Consider the following 22,614-nt stretch of genomic DNA (forward strand, 5'->3'; position numbering starts at 1 on the left):
GTCTGTAGAATGGCAAATCAGACATTCTGCCCCTCAAATACAAAACCTGAAAGGGTCCCAGGCTCTCTTCAGAAACACCTTTCCTCCTACAGTCTGGTACAGTCAAGGGCAGAGCCACAACCTAAGTTGCAGCCAGCAAGGCTCTTGCTCAGGAATCTGAATCTGGACATAGAGTGAAGGAACAGCTGACGTTCACTTTTTCCTTCTAGCAGTATCCCCAAACAGGACTCCAAGAGAGTCCAGGTCCAGAAACCCTCAGGAGCTGCCAGGTCCAGCTGCCAGGAATAGCAGACTATTCCAATCTTCTCTTGGAGCCTTTGACCTTGTTCATTTTCCTCTAATAAATACCCTTTATGCCTAAGTTAGGCAGAATCAACCTTAAAAAGTAATAGATAGTGCTGTCCAGTTTCCTGCCCTTCCTTGACACAAAAACATTTCCCAGCCCCCTTAGAGTCAGGCAGGGCCATGTGACTAGTTCTGGCCAATTAACTGAAAGTGGAAATGATGTATGTATTCCTATGTGCAATTTTCCATACTCTCTTCCTCTGCCTCAGTAAACTGTAAGGCACTATGCTGGATAGAAACGCCACAGAAAATGAAAGCAGCCTGGAGTGCTGAGGTTAGCTGCCCACAAAAGCCACCTAGGCCTGCAGCAACCCTCTGAGATTTTGATGGTTTTTGTTACCGTAACATAAGCTAGCCTATCCTGACTGACAGATAACCCTAATCATTCAATTCAAAAACATCACTCTAGCTAGAGGTAGTCATGAAGGACTTGTATTACTTTAAAAGAATTGCTAATAAAGCAGTAAACTATTGCATCCATATCTTAGGGTAGAGAAGCATTTGTATAGCAGCTAAGATCTGTACCAACATTTACGTCATGAATCTGACACCAGGGTTGCAAAACACCAACCACTAGAGAAGCAGCACATGAACCACAGACTGTATACAACATTCTGGAAAAGGCAACGCCATGAAGACGGTAAAAAGGTCAATGGCTGCCAGGGGTTAGGGGAAAGGAAAAATAAAAAATAGGCAGAGCACAGGGGCTTCGTAGGGTAGTGAAAATACTCTGTATTATACTATAATGGTAGATAGATGTTTTAATACATTCTTCTCAACCCAAAGAAATTTATAACACCAAGAGCAAAGCATAATGTAAACTACAGACTTTGGGTGACAATAATGTGTCAATGTAGGTTTATCGACTAGAACAAATGAACCACTTTGGTGCAGGATGTTAATAGGGAAGGCTGTACATGTGTGAGGGCAGGGGTATATGAGATGTCTTTGTGCCTTTCTCTCAATTTTGATGTAAACCTAAAACTACATTTTTTTAAAGAATTTTTATTATTATACTTTAAGCTCTAGGGTACATGTACACAACGTGCAGGTTTGTTACATATGTATACATGTGACATGTTGGTATGCTGCACCCATTAACTCGTCATTTACATTATGTGTATCTCCTAATGCTATCCCTTCCCCTCCCCGCACCCCACAACAGGCCCTGGTGTGTGATGTTCCCCTTCCTGTGCCCAAGTGTCCTCATTGTTCAATTCCCACCTATGAGTGAGAACATGTGGTGTTTGGTTTTTCGTCCTTGTCATAATTTGCTGAGAATGATGGTTTCCAGCTTCATCCATGTCCCTACAAAGGACATGAACTCATCACTTTTTATGGCTGCATAGTATTCCATGGTGTATATGTGCCACATTTTCTTAATCCAGTCTATCATTGTGGGACATTTGGGTTGGTTCCAAGTCTTTGCTATTGTGAATAGTGCTGCAATAAACATACGTGTGCATGTGTCTTTATAGCAGCATGACTTACAATCCTTTGGGTATATACCCAGTAATGGGATGGCTGGGTCAAATGGTATTTCTAGTTCTAGATCTCTGAGGAATCGCCACACTGACTTCCACAATGGTTGAACTAGTTTACAGTCCCACCAACACTGTAAAAGTGTTCCTATTTCTCCACATCCTCTCCAGCACCTGTTGTTTCCTGACTTTTTAATGATTGCCATTCTAACTGGTGTGAGATGGTATCTCATTGTGGTTTTCATTTGCATTTCTCTGATGGCCAGTGATGATGAGCATTTTTTCATGTGTGTTTTAGCTGCATAAATGTCTTCTTTTGAGAAGAGTCTGTTAATATCCTTTGCCCACTTTTTGATGGGGTTGTTTTTTTCTTGTAAATTTGTTTGCGTTCATTGTAGATTCTGGATATTAGTCCTTTGTCAGATGAGTAGGTTGCAAAAATTTTCTCCCATTCTGTAGGTTGCCTGTTCACTCTGATGGTAGCTGCTGTTGCTGTGCAGAAGCTCTTTAGTTTAATTAGATCCCATTTGTCAATTTTGGCTTTTGTTGCCATTGCTTTTGGTGTCCTAGACATGAAGTCCTTGCCCATGCCTATGTCCTGAATGGTATTGCCTAGGTTTTCTTCTAGGGTTTTTATGGTTTTAGGTCTAATGTTTAAGTCTTTAATTCATCTTGAATTAATTTTTGTATAAGGTTTTCTAGATATACAATCATCTCATCTGTAAACAGGGACAATTTGACTTCCTCTTTTCCTAATTGAATACCCTTTATTTCTTTCTCCTGCCTGATTGCCCTTGCCAGAATTTCCAACAGTATGTTGAATAGGAGTGGTGAGAGAGGGCGTCCCTGTCTTGTGCCAGTTTTCAAAGGGAATGCTTCCAGTTTTTGCCCATTCAGTATGATATTGGCTGTGGGTTTGTCATAGATGGCTCTTATTATTTTGAGATATGTCCCATCAATACCTAATTTATTGAGAGTTTTTAGCATGAAGGGCTGTTGAATTTTGTCAAAGGCCTTTTCTGCATCTATTGAGATAATCATGTGGTTTTTGTCTTTGGTTCTGTTTATATGCTGGATTACGTTGATTGATTTGCGTATGTTGAACCAGCCTTGCATCCCAGGGATGAAGCCCACTTGATCATGGTGGATAAGCTTTTGGATATGCTGCTGGATTCGGTTTGCCAGTATTTTATTGAGGATTTTTGCATCGATGTTCATCAGGGATATTGGTCTAAAATTCTCTTTTTTGGTTGTGTCTCTGCCAGGCTTTGGTATCAGGATGATGCTGGCCTCATAAAATGAGTTAGAGAGGATTCCCTCTTTTTCTATTGATTGGAATAGTTTCAGAAGGAATGGTACCAGCTCCTCCTTGTACCTCTGGTAGAATTTGGCTGAAACCAACGAGAACAAAGACACAACATACCAGAATACCTGGGACACATTCAAAGCAGTGTGTAGAGGGAAATTTATAGCACTAAATGCCCACAAGAGAAAGCAGGAAAGATCTAAAATTGACACCCTAACATCACAATTAAAAGAACTAGAGAAGCAAGAGCAAACACATTCAAAAGCTAGCAGAAGGCAAGAAATAACTAAGATCAGAGCAGAACTGAAGGAGATAGAAACACAAAAAAACCCTTCAAAAAAATCAACGAATCCAGGAGCTGGTTTTTTGGAAAGATCAACAAAATTGATAGACCGCTAGCAAGACTAATAGAGAAGAATCAAATAAACGCAATAAAAAATGATAAAGGGGATATCACCACCGATCCCACAGAAATAAAAACTACCATCAGAGAATACTATAAATACCTCTACGCAAATAAACTAGAAAATCTAGAAGAAATGGATAAATTCCTCGACACATACACCCTCCCAAGACTAAACTAGGAAGAAGCTGAATCTCTGAATAGACCAATAACAGGCTCTGAAATTGAGGCAATAATTAATAGCTTACAAACCAAAAAAAGTCCAGGACCAGAAGGATTCACAGCCGAAAACTACTCTTTAAAAAAAATTTGTTTTCATTTTAAAAAGTATACTGATCAATCTTGCCATGCAGACTAAGTCAAGAAATTAGGTATCGAATTGCAATAAATCTGTAATAAATCTATAGTTCAAAATTAATTACTCAATTAAAATTACTTTTTCCATTTCTGGTGAATAGCAGACAAAATCTTCTGCATATTACTCCTACTGAAAGGAACAAAAAATGCTGGATAAAATATCTTTATAAAATGCATACTTAAATTTGCAAGACGTTAAGAAAACCTCAAAGACCAAAAATAGAAAAGAAGAAAACTGAAGAAAAGGGGGAAACAGAGAAAACAGGACAACAGAGAGATAGAGAAAGAACAACAGAGAACAAATAGAAACAACAGAGAGAATCAGAATACTTTAACCCCAGGTGGATGGGGGGAGATGTGCTAAACTCTTGGTGACCTCGAAATGACCTTTTGAAATGGAACAAGGGACAACCCTCAGCTCCTGCCCATAGTGTAGTATCAAATAGGAGACCATTAATATTAAGTTGGTAACTCAAGGATATATGAATAAGAAATGAACCAGCCTGCAACAGAGTCTGGCAAGAAATGTTGAGACCTTGATACTAAAAGAAGCAGTGGTGAAAAAAATCTCCCCTGAGAATCAAATCAAGTCTCAAAAGCAGGTCTGCAGCTCACATTCACAATGACTCACCTGGGAGACCAGAGATTCAAACACCTGGGAGTCTGCTAGGCTGGAAAACTGAAACACTGCCTCTAATGAAGTCAAAATGCTACAATTTCCCCAGCATACTCTGGAGCAGTGGTTCTTAAATTTTAGGGTGCATCAGAATCACTGAAGAGTCTGTAAAAACATAGATTGCAAAACCCCTTCCTCAGAGTTTCTCATTTAGTAGATCTGGGGTAAGGCCTGAGAATTTGCATTTCTAACAGGTTGCCAATTAATGCTCATGCTGCTGGTCTAGGAGCACACTTTGAGAACTGCTACTGTGGTACTCAATATTGCCTGCACATGAGAATCACCCATATAGCTTTAAAGACTAGAGACACTTCCATCCACCCCCAGAGATATGGATTAAATGATATGGGGTACAGCCTGGGCATAAGAACTTATTTAAATGTTAAAATAGAGAGCATTAAGACTGACAGAACAGACTCCTCATGGCAATAAGATGCTAAATCATAAACAAGACCTAAGGCCATGCTAGGCAAGGGTTAGATCACGTACCCTACACTTAAAGAATAAACTATGTTCTAACTGCCACAGGATTTTTTGTTTTTCTCGAGCAGCTAAATAAGCACTGGCCTCAAGACAGGCACTACTGAAACAACTGCAGCCCACTGACAGCCAGATGCTGACTAACTCAAAACCTCCCCTATTCACAAGCCAAAGCAACAGTTTTGATTGGACGAGAGACTGATTTCAGTAACTTTCTCCTGATAAGAGATCATGGACCATGGACTGGTTCTGGCCGGTTTACAGAGGCTGTGTAGTGAGTGCCTTCCCATCTTCTGCTTCACCTAGGGCCTAATTGTAATGCACTTAAATGTTAAGTCTCCACCCCAAAGTGAACATGGGCTGCATGTAACATGCATGTTTACTTTCCACACATGCATGTGACCCCCCTTCATGAATATTCACAGCTTATCCTATAATCATTAAACATGTATACTTAGCCAACTCATTTGGCATAAATTCCTGTTCCATTCTTCCCTCCCTCGAAGTGCCTGCTTTCAGTTTCTGCCAGAGGCCACACTTCCCAGCCTGTCAAGATAGCCAACCTGCAGGCTGCATAAGAAATCAACCTTTCCTCTTCAAATTTAGGAGCCTCGGGATTCTTCAGTTAACACCAACATGCCATCAATGTTGAGAACCACTGCCAGAGAGGACAGAATCTAAAAGCTCTGGAAATTGAAAACACTGGAATGACTCAACAAAGTACAGCCTGCTCAGCCACCCCTTAAACCATCCCTCTTACGTGACCCTGGGAGACTGTCTTAATGAAGGGGACACCAGCATCTTTGAAGAGCTCTAAGGTGGCTATCCTTATAGGCCAGAGATGACAGTGAGAAATACTAACAATGGAATTTGGTTCTCTGACCACAGTGGAAATCATGAGATCTGGGATTAGTAAAGGCCAGTAGCAGCCCTTATCTGCACAGACAAGGTGGGCAAAACTGCCACAGTGAGTCAAAGGGCAATGTGGTGATCAGAATATTCTGACCCACAAGAATCAACGGTAAATTGAGCATCAGGTGTCTGTCTCCTAAGTTGATGCTTGATATTTAATAAGAAAATTTCTAGATTTACTGAGCAGAAACCTAACTCAAGTCCCATAAAGAATTCACAGCTTCTTACCCAGATCCCAGATCTAACCTGCTTCATAGACCTAGAGCTCCCCAAGTAACCTAGAGAGAGGTTCCTTGAAACCCTTGCAAAGTGGCCATAGTTCCAAAACACTTTCCTTCCCCAGGGAGTCTTCAGCATTTATCATGTGACTGAGCACTGAAGAAATGGAATTACCCAGACCCTTTCAAGTGCCACCACAGTCCAATACTCAAGAACTTACCTAGATCAGGTGCTACCTGGAGTCTTAGCCCAAATCCATCTCACATCTGTTCAGTGGGCCTATACACCCATCCTTGGCTTAAAAAAAAAAAAAAAAAAAAAAAAAACTATCGGGATCACAAGAGATAACAATGCATACGTCATCTCAGAGATATATCACAGAATCGGCCTCTGAATTCCCCCTTTTAATCTACCCACCAAGCAACTGCATGGCAGTGGCTAAAAGAGGAAGGTGCAAAAAAAGACTGGCAGTCAGCAGAGGCCTCCCCATTCTGAAACCTACCTATGATAACAGTAACAATGCTCTGCGTCTTCTTACCAATATAGGGTACCTTGACCACGACTCTTAGCAACTATACTGGAAAGAGAAACATACCCGTTTTCTAATCTCACAGCTGCCCTCTGGAAACCACAAACAAAACCTGATGAATATGGAGGGAGAAACCATTCCAGGCAGAGAAAACCAAGCCAGAGGCATATAATCCAGGTACTGCCACACTGTTGTGGCAGGTCCCCACTTCTGTATCTAATGTAAGCATCTACTGCAGTGTGGATGATACATACATTTATCAAGGGTTATATGACACACATTTTGAAACAGAACCACAACTATGCCTCCTATATGAATGTTTTCTTAAGAAGCCAAGTTACTATTGCCCTGTAATTAAAATTGGGTCCTTTAGATACCGTAATAACTTAAGTTATGGCATAGAGAACTCCAATATTACAATGTTGAGCTTGCTAAATATAACTAGTATTATTTACTTGTTACTATACTATTAAAAGTCATATCTTCAACACTCCTCAAATAGTAGAAATACAAAGGAAGCTCACTTTAAATTGCATTTTTCTGCTTCAGGGATCAGCTCTGATTAGTTGTGTTTTATGCAATTCTTTCCATCTCTAATTCTGTTTCCATGTTTCTTTCATCTAGTAGAAAATTAAATGTGATGCTTTGCTAGGTTCCCAAGGATTACTAACTTACACTACATTCAAATATGTTAGTCTCATACCTGCTGCCCTAAAAAATACAGCAAAGGTACATTCATAGCCTAGGTAAAACGAGCACCAAAATTAAGTCATAGCAGCAAACATAGAAGCTAAAAATTGTTCTATGAGACGTCAGATAAGAAATTAAATGAATTCCATCATTTTAAGAAATTAGAAAGCATGTCTTTAAAGAATTCTTTGATGTGAGATGTTTAATTTGTATGCAAAAGTGATTCAAATGTGGCAGTTCCCCAAATGATATGTACTTCAGCATCACAGCTTAATATAAGAAACAAATCCAGAATGTTTCACTTCATTCCACACAAAAATGTGATTATTATTCAACTCTTGCTTTATCATTTTCAACAAATTTGCCTCTCCTACTGTCCAAAAAGTAACAAAAAAAGAAGTCTATTTAGCTGTCAGATACAAGGGTAAATTCACTGAAATTAACAATATGGAGGATTTAAATGATATGTCTAAGCTTGGGGCTACAAAGAAGCAAGAAATAATCAAACACTGTGTCTGATGTAAAATATGGCAACCTATGGCCCCTCAAAATATACAGTGTACAAAACAACTAAGAAAACTACACCAAAGCAGGAATGGGATACAAAGTACTCCATGAGGACACATTAATAAATAAATAAATAAATATATATATATATATATATGTATGTATATATATATGTGTATATATATACACATATATATATGTGTATATATATACACATATATATATATGTGTATATATATACACATATATATATATGTATATATATGTAAGCTCAACTTCAGCTTCAAATCCAACAGGATAGTCTTTCCAGAAAAGCATCTAAGAGTTCAAGACCAGACTCAGCAACATGGTGAAACCCCATTTCTACAAAAAATAAAAAAATTAGCCAGGCGTAGTGGTGCACCTCTGTGGTCCCAGCTACTTGGGAGGCTATGGTGGGTAGACTGCTTGAGCCAGAAGGGAGGCAGAAGTTGCAGTGAGCCCAGACTGCCCAACTGCACCACAGCCTGGGTGACAGAGTGAGACCTTGTATAAAACAAAACAAAACAAAAGACTAAGCCAATTAGTCTTCTAATTGCTTCTCTTCACTTCTCACAGCTTTTCTTCCTTTGCTTTCCTATTAGACTGGATAAACTAGGTCCTGGGTAAAAGACTCAGAAACACAGGGCTTTGTGCAAGAGGGTTTGTAAGTGGCCACTCTCTCCCTCAAAGAGATCCAACCCCTCTCTTGACTGAAACTCAGCTATCTTCTGGAGAACAGCATAAACTAGGCTGACTAACTTCTTTCACCAAGAATTCTCCAGCACAAACCTGGTTTCTGTAGAGCCCTATTCTCTTTCCCTAGAGGGCCAGCTTTCCCCATCTCTGAGATGACACTTCATATCTCCTCCTCTACTCAAATCCCTTGGGTACTCATTATTCTCTTTCTAATGAATGATATTTCCAATGTAGTGCTGAATTCAGTTTCCTAGTATTTTGTTGAGGATTTCTGCATCAATATTCATCAGAGATACTAGCCCATAGTTTTCTTTTTTTGATATGTCTTTGTCAGATTTTGGTATCTGGGTAATACTGGCCTTGTAGAGTAATTCTGGAAGTACTCTCTCCTCGTCTTATTTTATTTATGTATTTATTTTTCTTGAGTAGTTTGAGTAGGATTGGTATCAGTTGGTTCTGCTTTAAATGTTAGGTAGAATTCAGCAGTGAAGCCATCAGGTTCCTGGCTTTTCTTTACTGGGAGACTTTTATTATGACTTTGATCTCATTATTTGTTATTAGTCTGTTCAGGTTTTGGATTTCTCCATGGTTCAATCTTGGTAGATTTTATGTATCTAGGAATTTGTCCACTTCTTTTAGATTTTCCAATTTATTGGCATATAGTTGACATAGCAGTCGCTAATGACCCTTTAAATTTCTGCAGTATTAGTTGTAATGTGTCCTTTTTCATTTCTGATTTTATTTATTTGGATCTTCTGGTTTTCTTAGTCTGGCTAAAGTTTGTCATTTTGTTTTAACTCTTTGGAAAAACTACTTTTTGTTTCATTGATCTTTCATATTGTTTCTCCATTTCAATTTCATTTATTTCTGCTCTGATCTTTATTATTTCTTTTCTTCTAATTTTAGATTTGGTTTCCCTTGCTTTTCTAAATCTTTAAGATGCATTGTTAGATTGTTCATTTGAAGTTTTTCCTCTTTTTGACGTAGGCACTTATAGCTATAAAATTACCTCTGAGTACTGCTTTTACTGTATCCCATAGGGTTTTTTTTGTTTGTTTTTTTTTTTTTTTTTTTTTTTGGCAGAATCTCACTTTGTCGCCCAGGCTGGAGTGCAGCGGTGTGATCTTGGCTTACTGCAAGCCTCCACCACCCAGGTTCAAGAAATTCTTGTGCCTCAGCCTCCCAGGTAGCTGGAATTACAGGCGCCTGCCACCATGCCTGGCTAATTTTTGTATTTTTAGTAGGGACGGGGTTTCACCATGTTGGCCAGGCTGGTCTCCAACTCCTGTCCTCGAGTGATCCACCTGCCTCGGCCTCCCAGAGTACTGGAATTACAGGCATGAGCCACCATGCCCAGCCTCCCAAAGGTTTTGATATGCTGTATTTACATTATCATTTGTTTCCAGAAATTTTTCAATTTTTTTTTTTTTTTTTTTTGAAACCAGGCTGGAGTGCAGTGGCATGATCTCAGCTCACTGCAACCTCCACTTCCTGGACTCAAGCAATCCTCCCACCTCAGCCTCCCAAGTAACAGGAACTACAGGCACGTGCCACCATGCTTGGCTAATTTTTGTGTGATTTTTTTTTTTTTTTGTAGAGACAAGGTTTCACCATGCTGCCCAGGATGGTCTGGAACTCCTGGCCTCAGGTGATCTGCCTACCTCAGTCTCCCAAAGTGTCGGGATTATAGGCATGAGCCACAGTTCCTGGCCCAAATTCTTTTTTCCCCCCCATAGAAAGCAGAAAAATAATTTATTCCAAAAGACGGCAGAAATAATAAATTCATCCTGAAAATACAGTAAGGTGTAATTCTGTTGAGACAGCTCTTCCCTCTGAAAATGCTCTCCTACTGACTGCCCCACTGGAGTATTACTTGTCTTGCAGCAGTTTCTAAACACTTCATTGGTTCCCATGTGAGAAGGCAGGAGCCATCTTCAAATGCACAGATTCCAAGGAGGCAGTAACATATCTCTCAGAAGAAGACAATCTTCTATCTCAGAAGAGTACATAATCATTTTCTGGAGTCAGCACAGTTCAGTTTAAGTAGGGACATAATTCGTTAAAGTGTAAAAAAGTGAAGGAAAAAACACTTCATTGTAGAATAAGACATTTAAATGTGGTGCTGATGTTTAAGGCAACTAATGACCAAAATGGGCAAGTCAAGAAAGGTGGTCTGGTTTGGAGGTGATTTTGCATCTAGAAGGCATTCTCTCCTCGTGACCTCAAAGACTGAGCACTGTAGAGCACATCTTCCTCCTCAAGGCCAATGATGCTTCAGATACCAGACGGCTTCATTTGTCAACTGTGGTCCAAAGAGAGGGTTGAGTTGGGCCAGAATTGAAATCAGCCAAAAGAGATAGCAGAAACCTGGACAGGTCACCAATATGGTAATGATAACTTCCCAGTAAGGACCCTTAGGGATAAACCAAGGCACCAAGAAGCCAACGAAGCCCCAGAACATGCTCATCACAGCGAAAGGCACCATGAGGCCATAATATGCATGGTCACTGCCTGAGCTGCCAGCCTCTGCCCCACCGCTTCATTTCCCAAATTCCTTCTTTTTTGTTTGTTTTGTTTGTTTTTTAGACAGAGTCTCACTCTTTCACCCAGGCTGGAGTGCAGTGGCACAATCTCAGCTCACTGCAACCTCCACCTCCCAGGTTCAAGCAATTCTCCTGCCTTGGCCTCCCCAGTAGCTAGGATTACAGGTGCACGCCACCATGCCTGGCTAATTTTTTTTTTTTTTTTTTTTTTTTTAGTAGAAACAGGGTTTCACCATGTTGGTCAGGCTGCTCTCGAACTCCTGACCTTATGATCCACCCACCTCGGCATCCCAAAGTGCTGGGGTTACAGGCATGAGCCACTACCTCTGGCCCCCAAATTCCTTCTTAATTTCTTCACTGACCCACTATTCAGGAGCATATTGTTTACTTTCCATGTATTTGTAAAGTTTCTAAAATTCTTATTAATTTCTAGTTTTAATCCATAGTGGTCAGAAAAGAGGCTTGATATTATTTCAATTTTTTGAATTTTTTAAGACTTGTTTTGTGATCTAAAATGTGGTCTAACCTTGAGAATAATTCATGTCTGAGAAAAAGAATGTGCATTCTGCAGCCCTTGGATGAAATGTTCTGTAAATATTAGATCCTTTTTGTCTATAGTGAAGATTAAGTCTGATGCTTCTTTGTTGATTTTCTGTCTGGGAGATCCGTCCAATGCTGAAAATGGGGTTTGAAGTCTCCAGCCATTATTGTATCAAGGCCTCTCTCTTTAGGTCTAATAATATTCCCTTTATATATCTAGGTGCTCCAGTGTTGGGTACATATATATTTTACATTGTTATATCACCTTGCTGAACTGACTCCTTTATCATTATGTAGTGACCTTCTTTGGCTCCTCTTACAGATTTTGTCTTGAAATCTATTGTATGTAATGTAAATATAACTACTCCCGCTCTTTTTTGGTTTCCACTGGCATGGAATATTTTTTTCCATCCCTTTATTTTCAGCCTGTGTGTGTCTATATAGGTGAAGTGTGTTTCTTGTAGGCAACAATCAATGGGTCTTGTTTTTTCATCCAGCCAGTCTCTGTCTTTTGACGGGAGAGTTTAGTCCATTTACATTCAATGTTATTATTGATAAGTAAGGACTTACTCCTGCCATTTTGTTATTTGTTTTCTGGTTGTTTTGTGATCTTCTCTTCCTTCTTTCTTTCCTATCCTCCACTAGTGAAGGTGATTTTCTCTGGGGATATGATTTAGTTTCTTGCTTTTTATTTTTTGTGTATCCACTATGTGTTTTTTTGTTGTTGTTTGTTTGTTTGTTTTTGGCTTGAGGTTACCATGAGGCTTGCGAATACTATCTTATAACCCATTATTTTAACCTGATAACAACTTAACTCTACATAAACCAACAAACAAGGAAAAAGAAAACTAAGAAAAACTCTATGCCTTAATATCATGCCCCTGCTTTTAAACTTTTTGCTGTTTCTATTTAGATCTCATTGCACTGACCATCTTGAAAAATTGATACAGTTATTACTTTTGATTGGCTCATATTTTAGTCTTTCTACTTATAGTAGAAGTAGTTTACACACAATTACAGTGTTACAATATTCTCTGTTTTTCTGTGTACTTAAAATTACCAGTGAGTTTTCTACCTTCAGATGATTATTTCTCATTACTGTCCTTTTCTTTCTGACTGAAGTATTCCCTTTAGCATATCTTGTAGGACAGGTCTGGTATTAATGAAATCCCTCAGGTTTTGTTTGTCTGGGAGAGTCTTTATTTCTCCTTCACATTTGAAGGATATTTTCACCAGATATACCCTTCTAGGATAAAAGTTATTTTCCTTCAGTACTTTAAATATGACATGTCACTCCCTCCTGGGCTTTAAGGTTTACACTGAAAAGTGTGCTGCCAGATGTACTGGAGCTCCATTTTATGTTATTTCTTTCTTTTCTCTTGCTGCTTGTAGGATCCTTTCTTTATCCCTGACCTTTAGGAGTTTGATTATTAAATGCTTTGAGGTTGTCTTCTTTGGGTTAAATCTGCTTGGTGTTCTATGACCTTCTTGTACTTGGACACTGACATCTTTCTCTAGGTTCAGGAAATTCTCTATTATCTTTTTGAATAAACTTTTTACCTCTATCTTTCTCTACCTCCTCTTTAAGGCCAATAACGTTTAGACTTTCTCTTTTGAGGTTATTTTCTAGATCTTGTAGGCGTGCTTCTTGTTTTTTCTTTTTTGAGACAGGGTCTCACTCTGTCACCCAGGCTGGAGTGCAGTGGCATGATCTCCGCTCACTGCAACCTCCACCTCCAGGACTCAAGTGATCCTCCCACCACAGCTTCCAGAGTACAGGCTCACACTATCACACCCAGCTAATTTTTGTATTTTTTGTAGAGACGGGGTTTCACCATGTTGCCCAGGCTGGTCTCAAACTCCTCAGCTCAAGCAATCCACCCTCAGCCTCCCTAAGTGCTGGGATTACAAGCATGATACTGCACCCAGCCTGGGTATTTTCAATTAGGCAGTCTTCAAGCTCACTAATTCTCTCTTCTGCTTAATAAATTCTGCTAAAGGACGCCAATATATTTTTCAGTGTGCCAACTGTATTTTTCAGCTTCAGAATTTCTGCTTGATTGTTTTTAATTATTTCAATCTCTTTGTTAAATTTATCTGATAGAATTCTAAATTCCTTCTCTGTGTTACCTTGAATTTCTTTTGAGTTTCCTCAACATAGCTATTTTGAATTCTCTCTCTGAAAGGTCACCTATCTCTGTTTCTCCAGGATTGGTCCCTCGTGCCTTATTTATAAAGTTCATTGGTGAGGTCATGTTTTCCTGGATGGTGTTGATGTTAGCAGATATTCTTCAGTGTCTGGGCACTGAAGAGTTAGGTATTTATTATAGTCTTCACTGCCTGGGCTTATTTGTAGCCATCCTTCTTGGGAAGGCTTTTCGGATATTTGAAAGGACTTGGGTGTTGTGATCTAGGCTGTATCTGCTTTAGGGGGCACCCCGTGCCCAGTAACACTGTAGTTCTTGCAGACTCAGACATGTATTGCCTTGATGGTCTTAGATGAGATCTGGAAGAATTCTCTAGATCACCAGGCAGACACTCTTATTCCCTTCCCTTACTTTCTCCCGAACATACAGAGTCAGTCAGTCAGTCTCTCTCTCTCTCTCTCTCCGCTCCCCCCCCCCTTTCTCTCTCTCTCTCCCTCTTTCTCTGTTCTGAGCCACCTAAAGACTTGGGGTGGAGTGACACAAGCACCCCTATGGCCACCACCGCTATGACAGCACTGGGTCAGACCTGAGAAGTGCTAGGTCTTACCCAAGGCCTGCTATAACCACTCCCTAGCTACTGCTTATGTTCGCTCAAGGCCCTAGGGCTGTACAATCAGCAGGTGGCAAAGCCAGCCAGGCCTGTCCTTCCCTTCAGGGCGGCAAGGTCCCCTAAGTCCCAGGTGGGTCCAGAAGTGCCATCCAGGAGTCAGGGACTAGAGTCAAAAACCTTAGAAGTCTACCTGGTGTTCTAATGTAGTGCAGCTGAACTGGTACTGAAACTACACAATGCAGTCCCTCCCTTCCTCCTTCCCCTTTCCAAAGGGAGAGGATCCTCACCTGTAGCCACCACCAGGCCATGAGGAGTACTGCCAGACTACCACTGATGTTCCCTTAAGGCCCAAGGTCTCTTAAGTCAGCTTGTCATAAATGCTGCCTGACCTGGGCCTCACCCTTCAGGACAGTGGGCTCCCCCTCTGGCCCAGGAGGTCCAGAAATGCCATCCAAGAGTCAAGTCCTGAAATCAGAGATCCCAAGAGCCCTTTTGGTGTTCTACCCTCTTTGGCCATGCTGGTACCTAAGGTGCAAGACAAAGTCCCCTTTACTTTTCCCTCTGCTTTTCTCAAGCAGGAGGAGTTTTGCCCCATACACCACAACTAGTTATGTGGTAAGTCTCACCTGAAGCCAGCAAGTCTTAGAGACTCACCAAGGCCCTCAAAATGTAATATGGGGGTATCACTGCTGGTTATTCAGGGCCCAAAGGCTCTTCGGTTCACAGGTAATGAATGCTGACAGGACCGGGTCCTTTCCCTCAAGGTAACAGTTTCCCTTCTGGCCCAGGGTGTTCTAGAAATACCATCTGGGAGCCAGGGCCCGAAACAGGGGCCCCGTGACTTTAACTGATGCCCTATCTTGCTGTGGCTGGGCTGGTATCCTAGGTGCAAGACAAAGTCCTCCCCCACTCTTTCCTCTTCTCTCAAGCAGAAGGAAGGGGTCTTTTTTTGGAGCCGCGAGCTATGCAGCCTGGGGTTGGGGGAGGAATGAAGCCAGCACTCCCCAGCTGCCCCAGCTGGCATCTCAGTATGTCATGTGCCCCCTCAGTCCACTGTCTCTGGGCCTAATTCAGCACTAAGACTCACAAGTTGCAGTCCTTATGGCCTAGACTGCCTTTCAAAGGCAGTCTTGTACACAAAGAGTGCTGCAGCGCTCAGTGGTACGATTTGCAGGAACTCAAGCTCCCACCATTGGGATGAGTGACTCCCCTTTGGCTAGGGCTGGATTACATGCTCTCTCCATGGCAGGCATCAGCTGAGTTTGGTCTTGGTTTCCTTTCTGCTCTAACAGGACACCACTGAGTTCAGTGCCTCACAATTGCTATGTTCTCCCTCCCCCAGTGCCCAGAGATGTTCTCCACACCAGGCTGCTGCTAGGGCGGGGATCAGGGAGTGGTGTTGGCAATTCAGAACTGTTTTGTTTTGTTTTGTTTTGTTTTGTTTTGTTTTGTTTTGTTTTTGGTGCCTCTTTCAGCGATATGAGATTAAAACCCGGTACTATGAGTGCTCACCGGATTTTTGGTTCTTACAAAGGTGCTTTTACTGTGTAGATACTTGTTAATTTGGTATCCTTGCAGGAGGGATGATAGGTGGAATCCTCTATTCCACCATCTTGCTCTACCTCATTATTCTCTTTCTCACGGTGACCTTGCTGTACCCCAGAGTCAGAAGCCACTATATATTAGATAGCTCATTCAAGGCTGGGTGTGGTGTTTCATGCCTATAATCCCAGCACTTTGGGAGGCCAAAGCAAGCAGGTTGCTTGAGTCCAGGAGCTCAAGAAGATAAATCATCCAACACTAAATCTTATCCACTTCATTTACATTTATTCATCTTTTCTTCCTGTTATAGTGGATAGTGTCCCTTCCTTCTCTGATCTAAGACCAATTACCCTAGGTCATTCCCTTCCACTCATTTTAAGAACTATCTACCCTCAGTTGGCCTTTCTCCAACCTCTATCTTCAATGCCCAGATTCCCCCCAGGATTAATCTTTTCCATTAGCCCTTACATATGCCTCACACTCAGAGCCAAACTTTTTCTAAGACTTAACTAGAAGGCCAGGCACGGTGGCTCATGCCTGTAATCCCAGGACTTTGGGAGGCCAAGGTGGGTGGATCACTTGAGGTCAGGAGTTCAAGACCAGCCTGGCCAACATGATGAAACCTCATCTCTATGAAAAATACAAAAATTAGCCAGATGTGGTGGCACATTCCTGTAATCCCCAGCTACTTGGAAGGCTGAGGCAGGAAAATCACTTGAACCCAAGAGGCGGAGGTTGCAGTGAACCGATCACGCCACTGCACTCCAGCCTGGGCAACAGAGCAAGACTCTGTCTTTAAAAAAAAAAAAAAAAAAAAAAAAAAAAAAAAAAGCCTTATCTAGATGTAGATTCACCACTTGTTCACTTCTAGTTTTCTATACAATCACCCCAATCTGGCTCCCATCTCAAATTTTTCTTTGTGAGTCACTAATAACCCTATCTTACCAGATCCAATAGAAATGTCTATTTTCAACTTATGTAACTCAAAAGTAAAAAAGATGACCATTTTCTCCTTCACAGAACACACACCTCTCTTTCCCTCCATTAGCAACTTTCTGGAGTTTCTACTTAACCGTTGCTCCTTCTCAGTCTCCTTTATTACTTCAACTTCCTCTCTTTAATATCCTTGGCCCATCGGAAAGTTCCACAAAGACAGGGACAACACCTGTTTTGCTTATTTGCCTCCAGGGCCTACCCAATTACTTGGCTCAAAGAAGGTGCTCATTAAATATTTGTTGACTGGATACCAAAAAATTTTTTTAAATAAATTTAAAAAACCCTCAATTCATACCTAACTCCCTATACAAAATTAACTAAAATTTTATTGTAGGTTAAAATACAAAACTCAAAACTACAAAAATTTTAGAAACACACACGAGAAAAACTCTGTGACCTTGCATAAAAAGACTTAAGACAACAAAAGAACCATTCGTAAAAGAAAAAATTGGCAAGTTGGACTTCATCAAAATTAAGAATGTTTTAAAGATACCATAAAATAAAAAGACAAGCCACAGAGAAAATATTGCCAACCATATGTTGGATAAAGAACTTGTATCCAGAATATTTTAAAAACTCAGATACAGATGTTTACACAGACAAGAACAGACAGATGATAGGGAGATAACAGTCAAAACTCAGTAACAAAACAACTTCAAACAATTTTAGACATGATTTCCCTCAATTGAGTTGGTCCACACCCATTCAGCCTCATCTACCACCACATGCAAGCTATATGTACATCGTAAGACCTCCACTATGCTGTTATCGTTCATGCTGTGTTGCTTGTCTTGTACCTTCTCATAAAGCTAAGTAGACCTGATGTTGACTGAATATAATTAAGTATCAATATATATTAATGCAGCAGTCCCCAACCTTTTTGGAACTGGAGATCAGTTTTGTGGAAGACAATTTTTCCATGGACCAGGGTTAGGGGGATGGTTTTGGGATGAAACTGTACTGCCTCAGATTATCAGGCATTAGATTTTCATAAAGTGTGCACAACCTACATCCCTCGCATGCGCAGTTCACAATAGGGTTCACGCTCCTATGAGCATCTAATGCCACTGCTGATCTGACAGGAGGCAGAGCTCAGGCAGTAATGCTCACTGGCCCACCACTCACCTCCTGCTGTGCAGCCCGGTTCCTAACAGGCCATAAACCAGTCCTGGTCCACAGCCCGGTTTGGGGACCCCTGTATTAATGTATCTACTATAATATGCGCTTGTGTATGTGTGATTCACAGCATATGTGTGTTGAATTCATCAGGGAAGTCATCTAAGCCTGGAACTGTTATCATTATTAAAAACTGGAAGGTTTTTAATAATGTACTAACAGATATAGGGCTCCCCAAATTTTTCTATCAGTTCCAGAAAGTTCTGTTATTCAAGCACTTTTTCCATTTGTCAAGTATGAAATTATTCAGATTATCCCCTTAGTATCTTTTAACATACATTAGACTCATATTGCTATCTCCCAGTCTTGACGTTAGTAATTTGTATTTTCTCTTTACTTTCTTTTGATCAATCTAGCTAGAGATTTAAAAATCTTATGCAATTTATCAATATGAACTATTGGTTTGGTTTCATCTCTTTTATTCTTTTCTACCTCTGGGAACACAGGACATCAATTTTTTATCTATTGTTACTTATCGAGTTCATTGAGTTCAGCTCTTACTTTTATTATTTCCTTTATTTGAATTGCATTGGGTTTAATTTACTCTCCTTTTTCTAGCTTCTTAAACTGGAACTTAAAACATTCTTGATTTCTAATACAGTGGCTCCCAAAGAATAGTCCCTAAACCAGCAGCATCAAAAGCCACAAGGGCACTTACCGGAAATGCGAATTACTGTGCCCCACTCAAAATCTACAGAGTGAGAAACTTTGGAGGTGGGGTCTGACAATCTGTGTGTTTTGTTGTTTTGGGGGGGCAAGGTGTCACCCAGGCTGGAGTGCAGTGACAAGATTCTGGCTCACTGCTAACTCCGCCTCACAGATTTAAGCGATTCTCATGCCTCAGCCTCCCAAGTAGCTGGGATTACCGGTGTGTACCACCATGCCCAGATAATTTTTGTACTTTCAGTAGACAGGGTTTCTACTAAACCACCCTTGGCCAGGCTGGTCTCAAGCTCCTGGCCTCAAGTGATCTGCCCGCCTCAACCTCCCAAAGTGCTGGGATTACAGGCATGAGTCACCACGCCCAGCCTGACAATCTGTGTTTTAGTAAACCTTCCAGGCAATTGTGATGCACAGAGTCTTCAGAACTACTGCTCTAATCTGAGCATTTCAAGTTATGAATTATTTCACTCTTACACCCAATTTAGCAGCATCACAAATGTGGTGATGTGTTGGGTTCCCCTTATTACTCAGCTTTAAATATTTTCTAAAAATTTGTGAGATTTTATTGACCCATGAGTTACAAGCATTTTTCTTAATTTCCTGACATTTGGGGGATTTTCTAGATTTCCTCTTGTTAGACATTTCTAATTTAATTCCATCATGGTCAGAGAACATATTATAAATAATTTCAATACTTTGTTATAAAGAGATGTTTTATGGCCAAGAATATGGTCTGTTTTAGTGACTATTCAGTATGCTTTCAAAATAAAGGTATTGTATAATCGTGGGAATTAGCATTCTATAAATGTTATTTCAATTTCATTAATATCATTCAAATCTTCCATGTTCTCACATAATTTTTATCTACTTATTTTAAAAATATCCAACAATAATGAATTTGTCATTATCAAATTCTTTTAGTTCTGTCAATTTTTCTTTCATATATTTTAAAGTAGTCTCATTTCACACAGACAAATTAAGGATTGTTAATGCTTCCTAATGAACTGAAATTTTCATTATTATGAACTGTTTTTATCTCTAGTAATACTCCCTTAATTTCTACTGTTATTAATATAGCTACTTAAGCTTTCTTGTTACTAGTGTTTCCATGGTATATCTTGTAAGTCTAACTTCCCATTTAAAGTATGTCTCATATAAACTGTATATAGCTAGGTTTTTGTTTTTGTTTTTGTTTTGAGACGGAGTCTCACTCTGTCGCCCAGGCTGGAGTGCAGTAGTGGGATCTCAGCTCACTGTAACCTACGCCTCCAGGTTTCAAGCCATTCTCCTGCCTCAGCCTCCCAAATAGCTGCAATTACAGAGGCGTGCACCATCATATCCACCTAATTTTTTTTGTATTTTTTTTTTAGTAGAGACAGGTTTCATCATGTTGGTCAGAGTGATCTTGAACTTCCGACCTCAAGTGATCCACTCGCCTTGGCCTCCCTGTATGCTGGGATTACAGGTGTGAGCCACTGGACCAGCTAGGTCTTTTTTTTCCCCCCCAATATGACAATCTCTGCCTTTTGATGGGAATATTTAGGCTACTCATATTTAATACAGTTATTAATATGGTGAGGTTTAAGTCTATCATCTTGTCATTTGCTTTCTATTTGCCCCATTTTATCTTTCTTCCTTTATTCCTCCTTTCCTGACTTATTATTCCTGATTAGATGGTAATTTAGTTTTTAAGACTAGTCAAGTGAAGCAGTGGGAGTGGAGAAGAAACAAATCTGTAACTAGTTACAATCAATTAGTTGTAAACACCATGGCACTATGATTAGCCAAGTATTCCTTTTTATCTCTTCTATTCACTATTTAGTAATTACTCTTGTTTTTCAGGGTTTTTTTTTTAACTGGATAGTCTTCCAATTATAATAGCATGCATAAATTATCAGAAGTAACCCTGAATCAACATTATATTATTTCACATATGTGTAAGAACATATACAATATTAGCTCATAATATTATATTATGGGCTATACAGGGCACCATGGCTCGTGCCTATAATCCCGGCACTTTGGGAAGCTAAGGCGGATGAATCACCTGAGGCCAGGAGTTCAAGACCAGCCTGGCCAACATGATGAAACCCCATCTCTACTAAAAAATAAAATAAAAAAATTAGCCGGGCATGGTGGCACACACCTGTAATCCCAGTTACTCGGGAGGTTGAGGCATGAGAATCACTTGAACCCAGGAGGTAGAGGTGCAATGAGCCAAGATTATGCCACTGCACTCCAGCCTGGGTGACCGGGTGAGACTCTGTCCAAAAAAACACTCACATATACAATATATACATAAAACATAATATACACATAAAATATAGGGATACAATAAAATCCACATTAAACACTTCCGCATGTGTTCCTCCAACCCTTTGTACAACTGCTGTCATATATTTTGCTTCTACTTATGTTATAAAACACACATTTTTCTGGCCTTAATAGATTTAACAAGTTATGAAAAATTGTTTATTTTCCAACATATTTACCACTATAGTACTCTTCAATTATTCTTGTAAACCCAGGTTTATATTTGCTCATTTAACTTTAACAAGAAAAACTCACTTTAACATTTCTAGTCAAATTCTCTCAGTTTGGAGACTAATTTACTCATTTTTTTCCTTATTTCCCTTTTATTGTTGACAGTATTTTCACAAAATACAGAATTCTGGGATAGCAGATTTTTTTCTTTGAACACTTTAAAAATATTGTTCCACTGTCTAATGGCATCTATGGTTTCCAAGGAGAAGTCAGCACGCATTCATATAACTGTTTCCCAGCATGGAATATATAGGATTTCTCTAATTGCTTTTAGGACTTTTCTCTTTAGTTTTGATATTCAGCAGTTTGACCATGATGAGCCTAGATGTAGTCCTCTTTAGATTATCTTGGTCAGGGTTCGGTGTGATTCTTGGAATGTGAGCTGACATTATCATCAATTTGGAAACATTTTCAACAATTATCCCTTCAAATATTCCTTCTATCTCATTCTTTCATCTCCTTCTGAGAGTCAAATCATGTGACTGTTAGATAATTTTATGTAATATTATTCCACAAAGTCTCAGACACTGTGTTCTGTTTTCTTCATTCTTTTTGCTTTGTGTGTCAGTTTGAGTCATTTCTATTAAACAGACCTATAATTCACTGATTCTGTCTTCTATTATGTTCTGACTGTGACGTCCATCCAATAAGTGTTTTTGAACTTTTATTGTGAAATAATTATAAACTCACAGGGAATAGAAAAAGCAGTACAGAGAAGTCCCATATGTCCTTCCTCTAGTTTCCCATAATGGTAACATCTTACATAATTATAGAACAATATTAAAGCCAAAAGTCTGCCATTGGTACAATGTGTATATATAATTCTACATCACTTTACCACGTGTAGATTCACACAACTACCACTGCAATCAAAAAACAGAACCAATCAATCATGAGGAAGATCTCCCTCATACAATCCTTATGCACTCAAACTCTCCCTCTTCTTCTAATATCCCTAACCCCTGGCAACCACTGTGATATAGTTTGGCTCTGTGTCCCCACCCAAATCTCACCCTGAATCGTAATAATCCCCACATGTCAAGGGTGGGACCAGGTGGAGGTAACTGAATCATGGGGGTGGTTTCCCTCATGCTATTCTCATAACAGTGAGTTCTCACAAGATCTGATGGTTTTATAAGGGGCTTCTCCCTTCACTCAGCACTCATTCTCTCCTCCCGCCATGTAAAGAGGTGCCTTCTGCCATGATTTTAAGTTTCCTGAGGCCTCCCCA

At 40.0% G+C, this 22,614-nt stretch overlaps 1 protein-coding gene and 1 pseudogene across 4 annotated transcripts in view; both read right to left on the reverse strand.

Annotated features, from left to right (window-relative positions):
• ULK4 (unc-51 like kinase 4) overlaps window positions 1-22,614 on the reverse strand; it is a 715,505-nt gene that overhangs the window by 601,872 nt on the left and 91,019 nt on the right. The window lies entirely within an intron of this gene.
• On the reverse strand, window positions 10,684-11,171 carry ATP6V0E1P2 (ATPase H+ transporting V0 subunit e1 pseudogene 2; annotated as a pseudogene).

Source organism: Homo sapiens, chromosome 3, assembly GCF_000001405.40.
Source record: "Homo sapiens chromosome 3, GRCh38.p14 Primary Assembly".
Classification (NCBI taxonomy): Eukaryota; Metazoa; Chordata; class Mammalia; order Primates; family Hominidae; genus Homo; species Homo sapiens.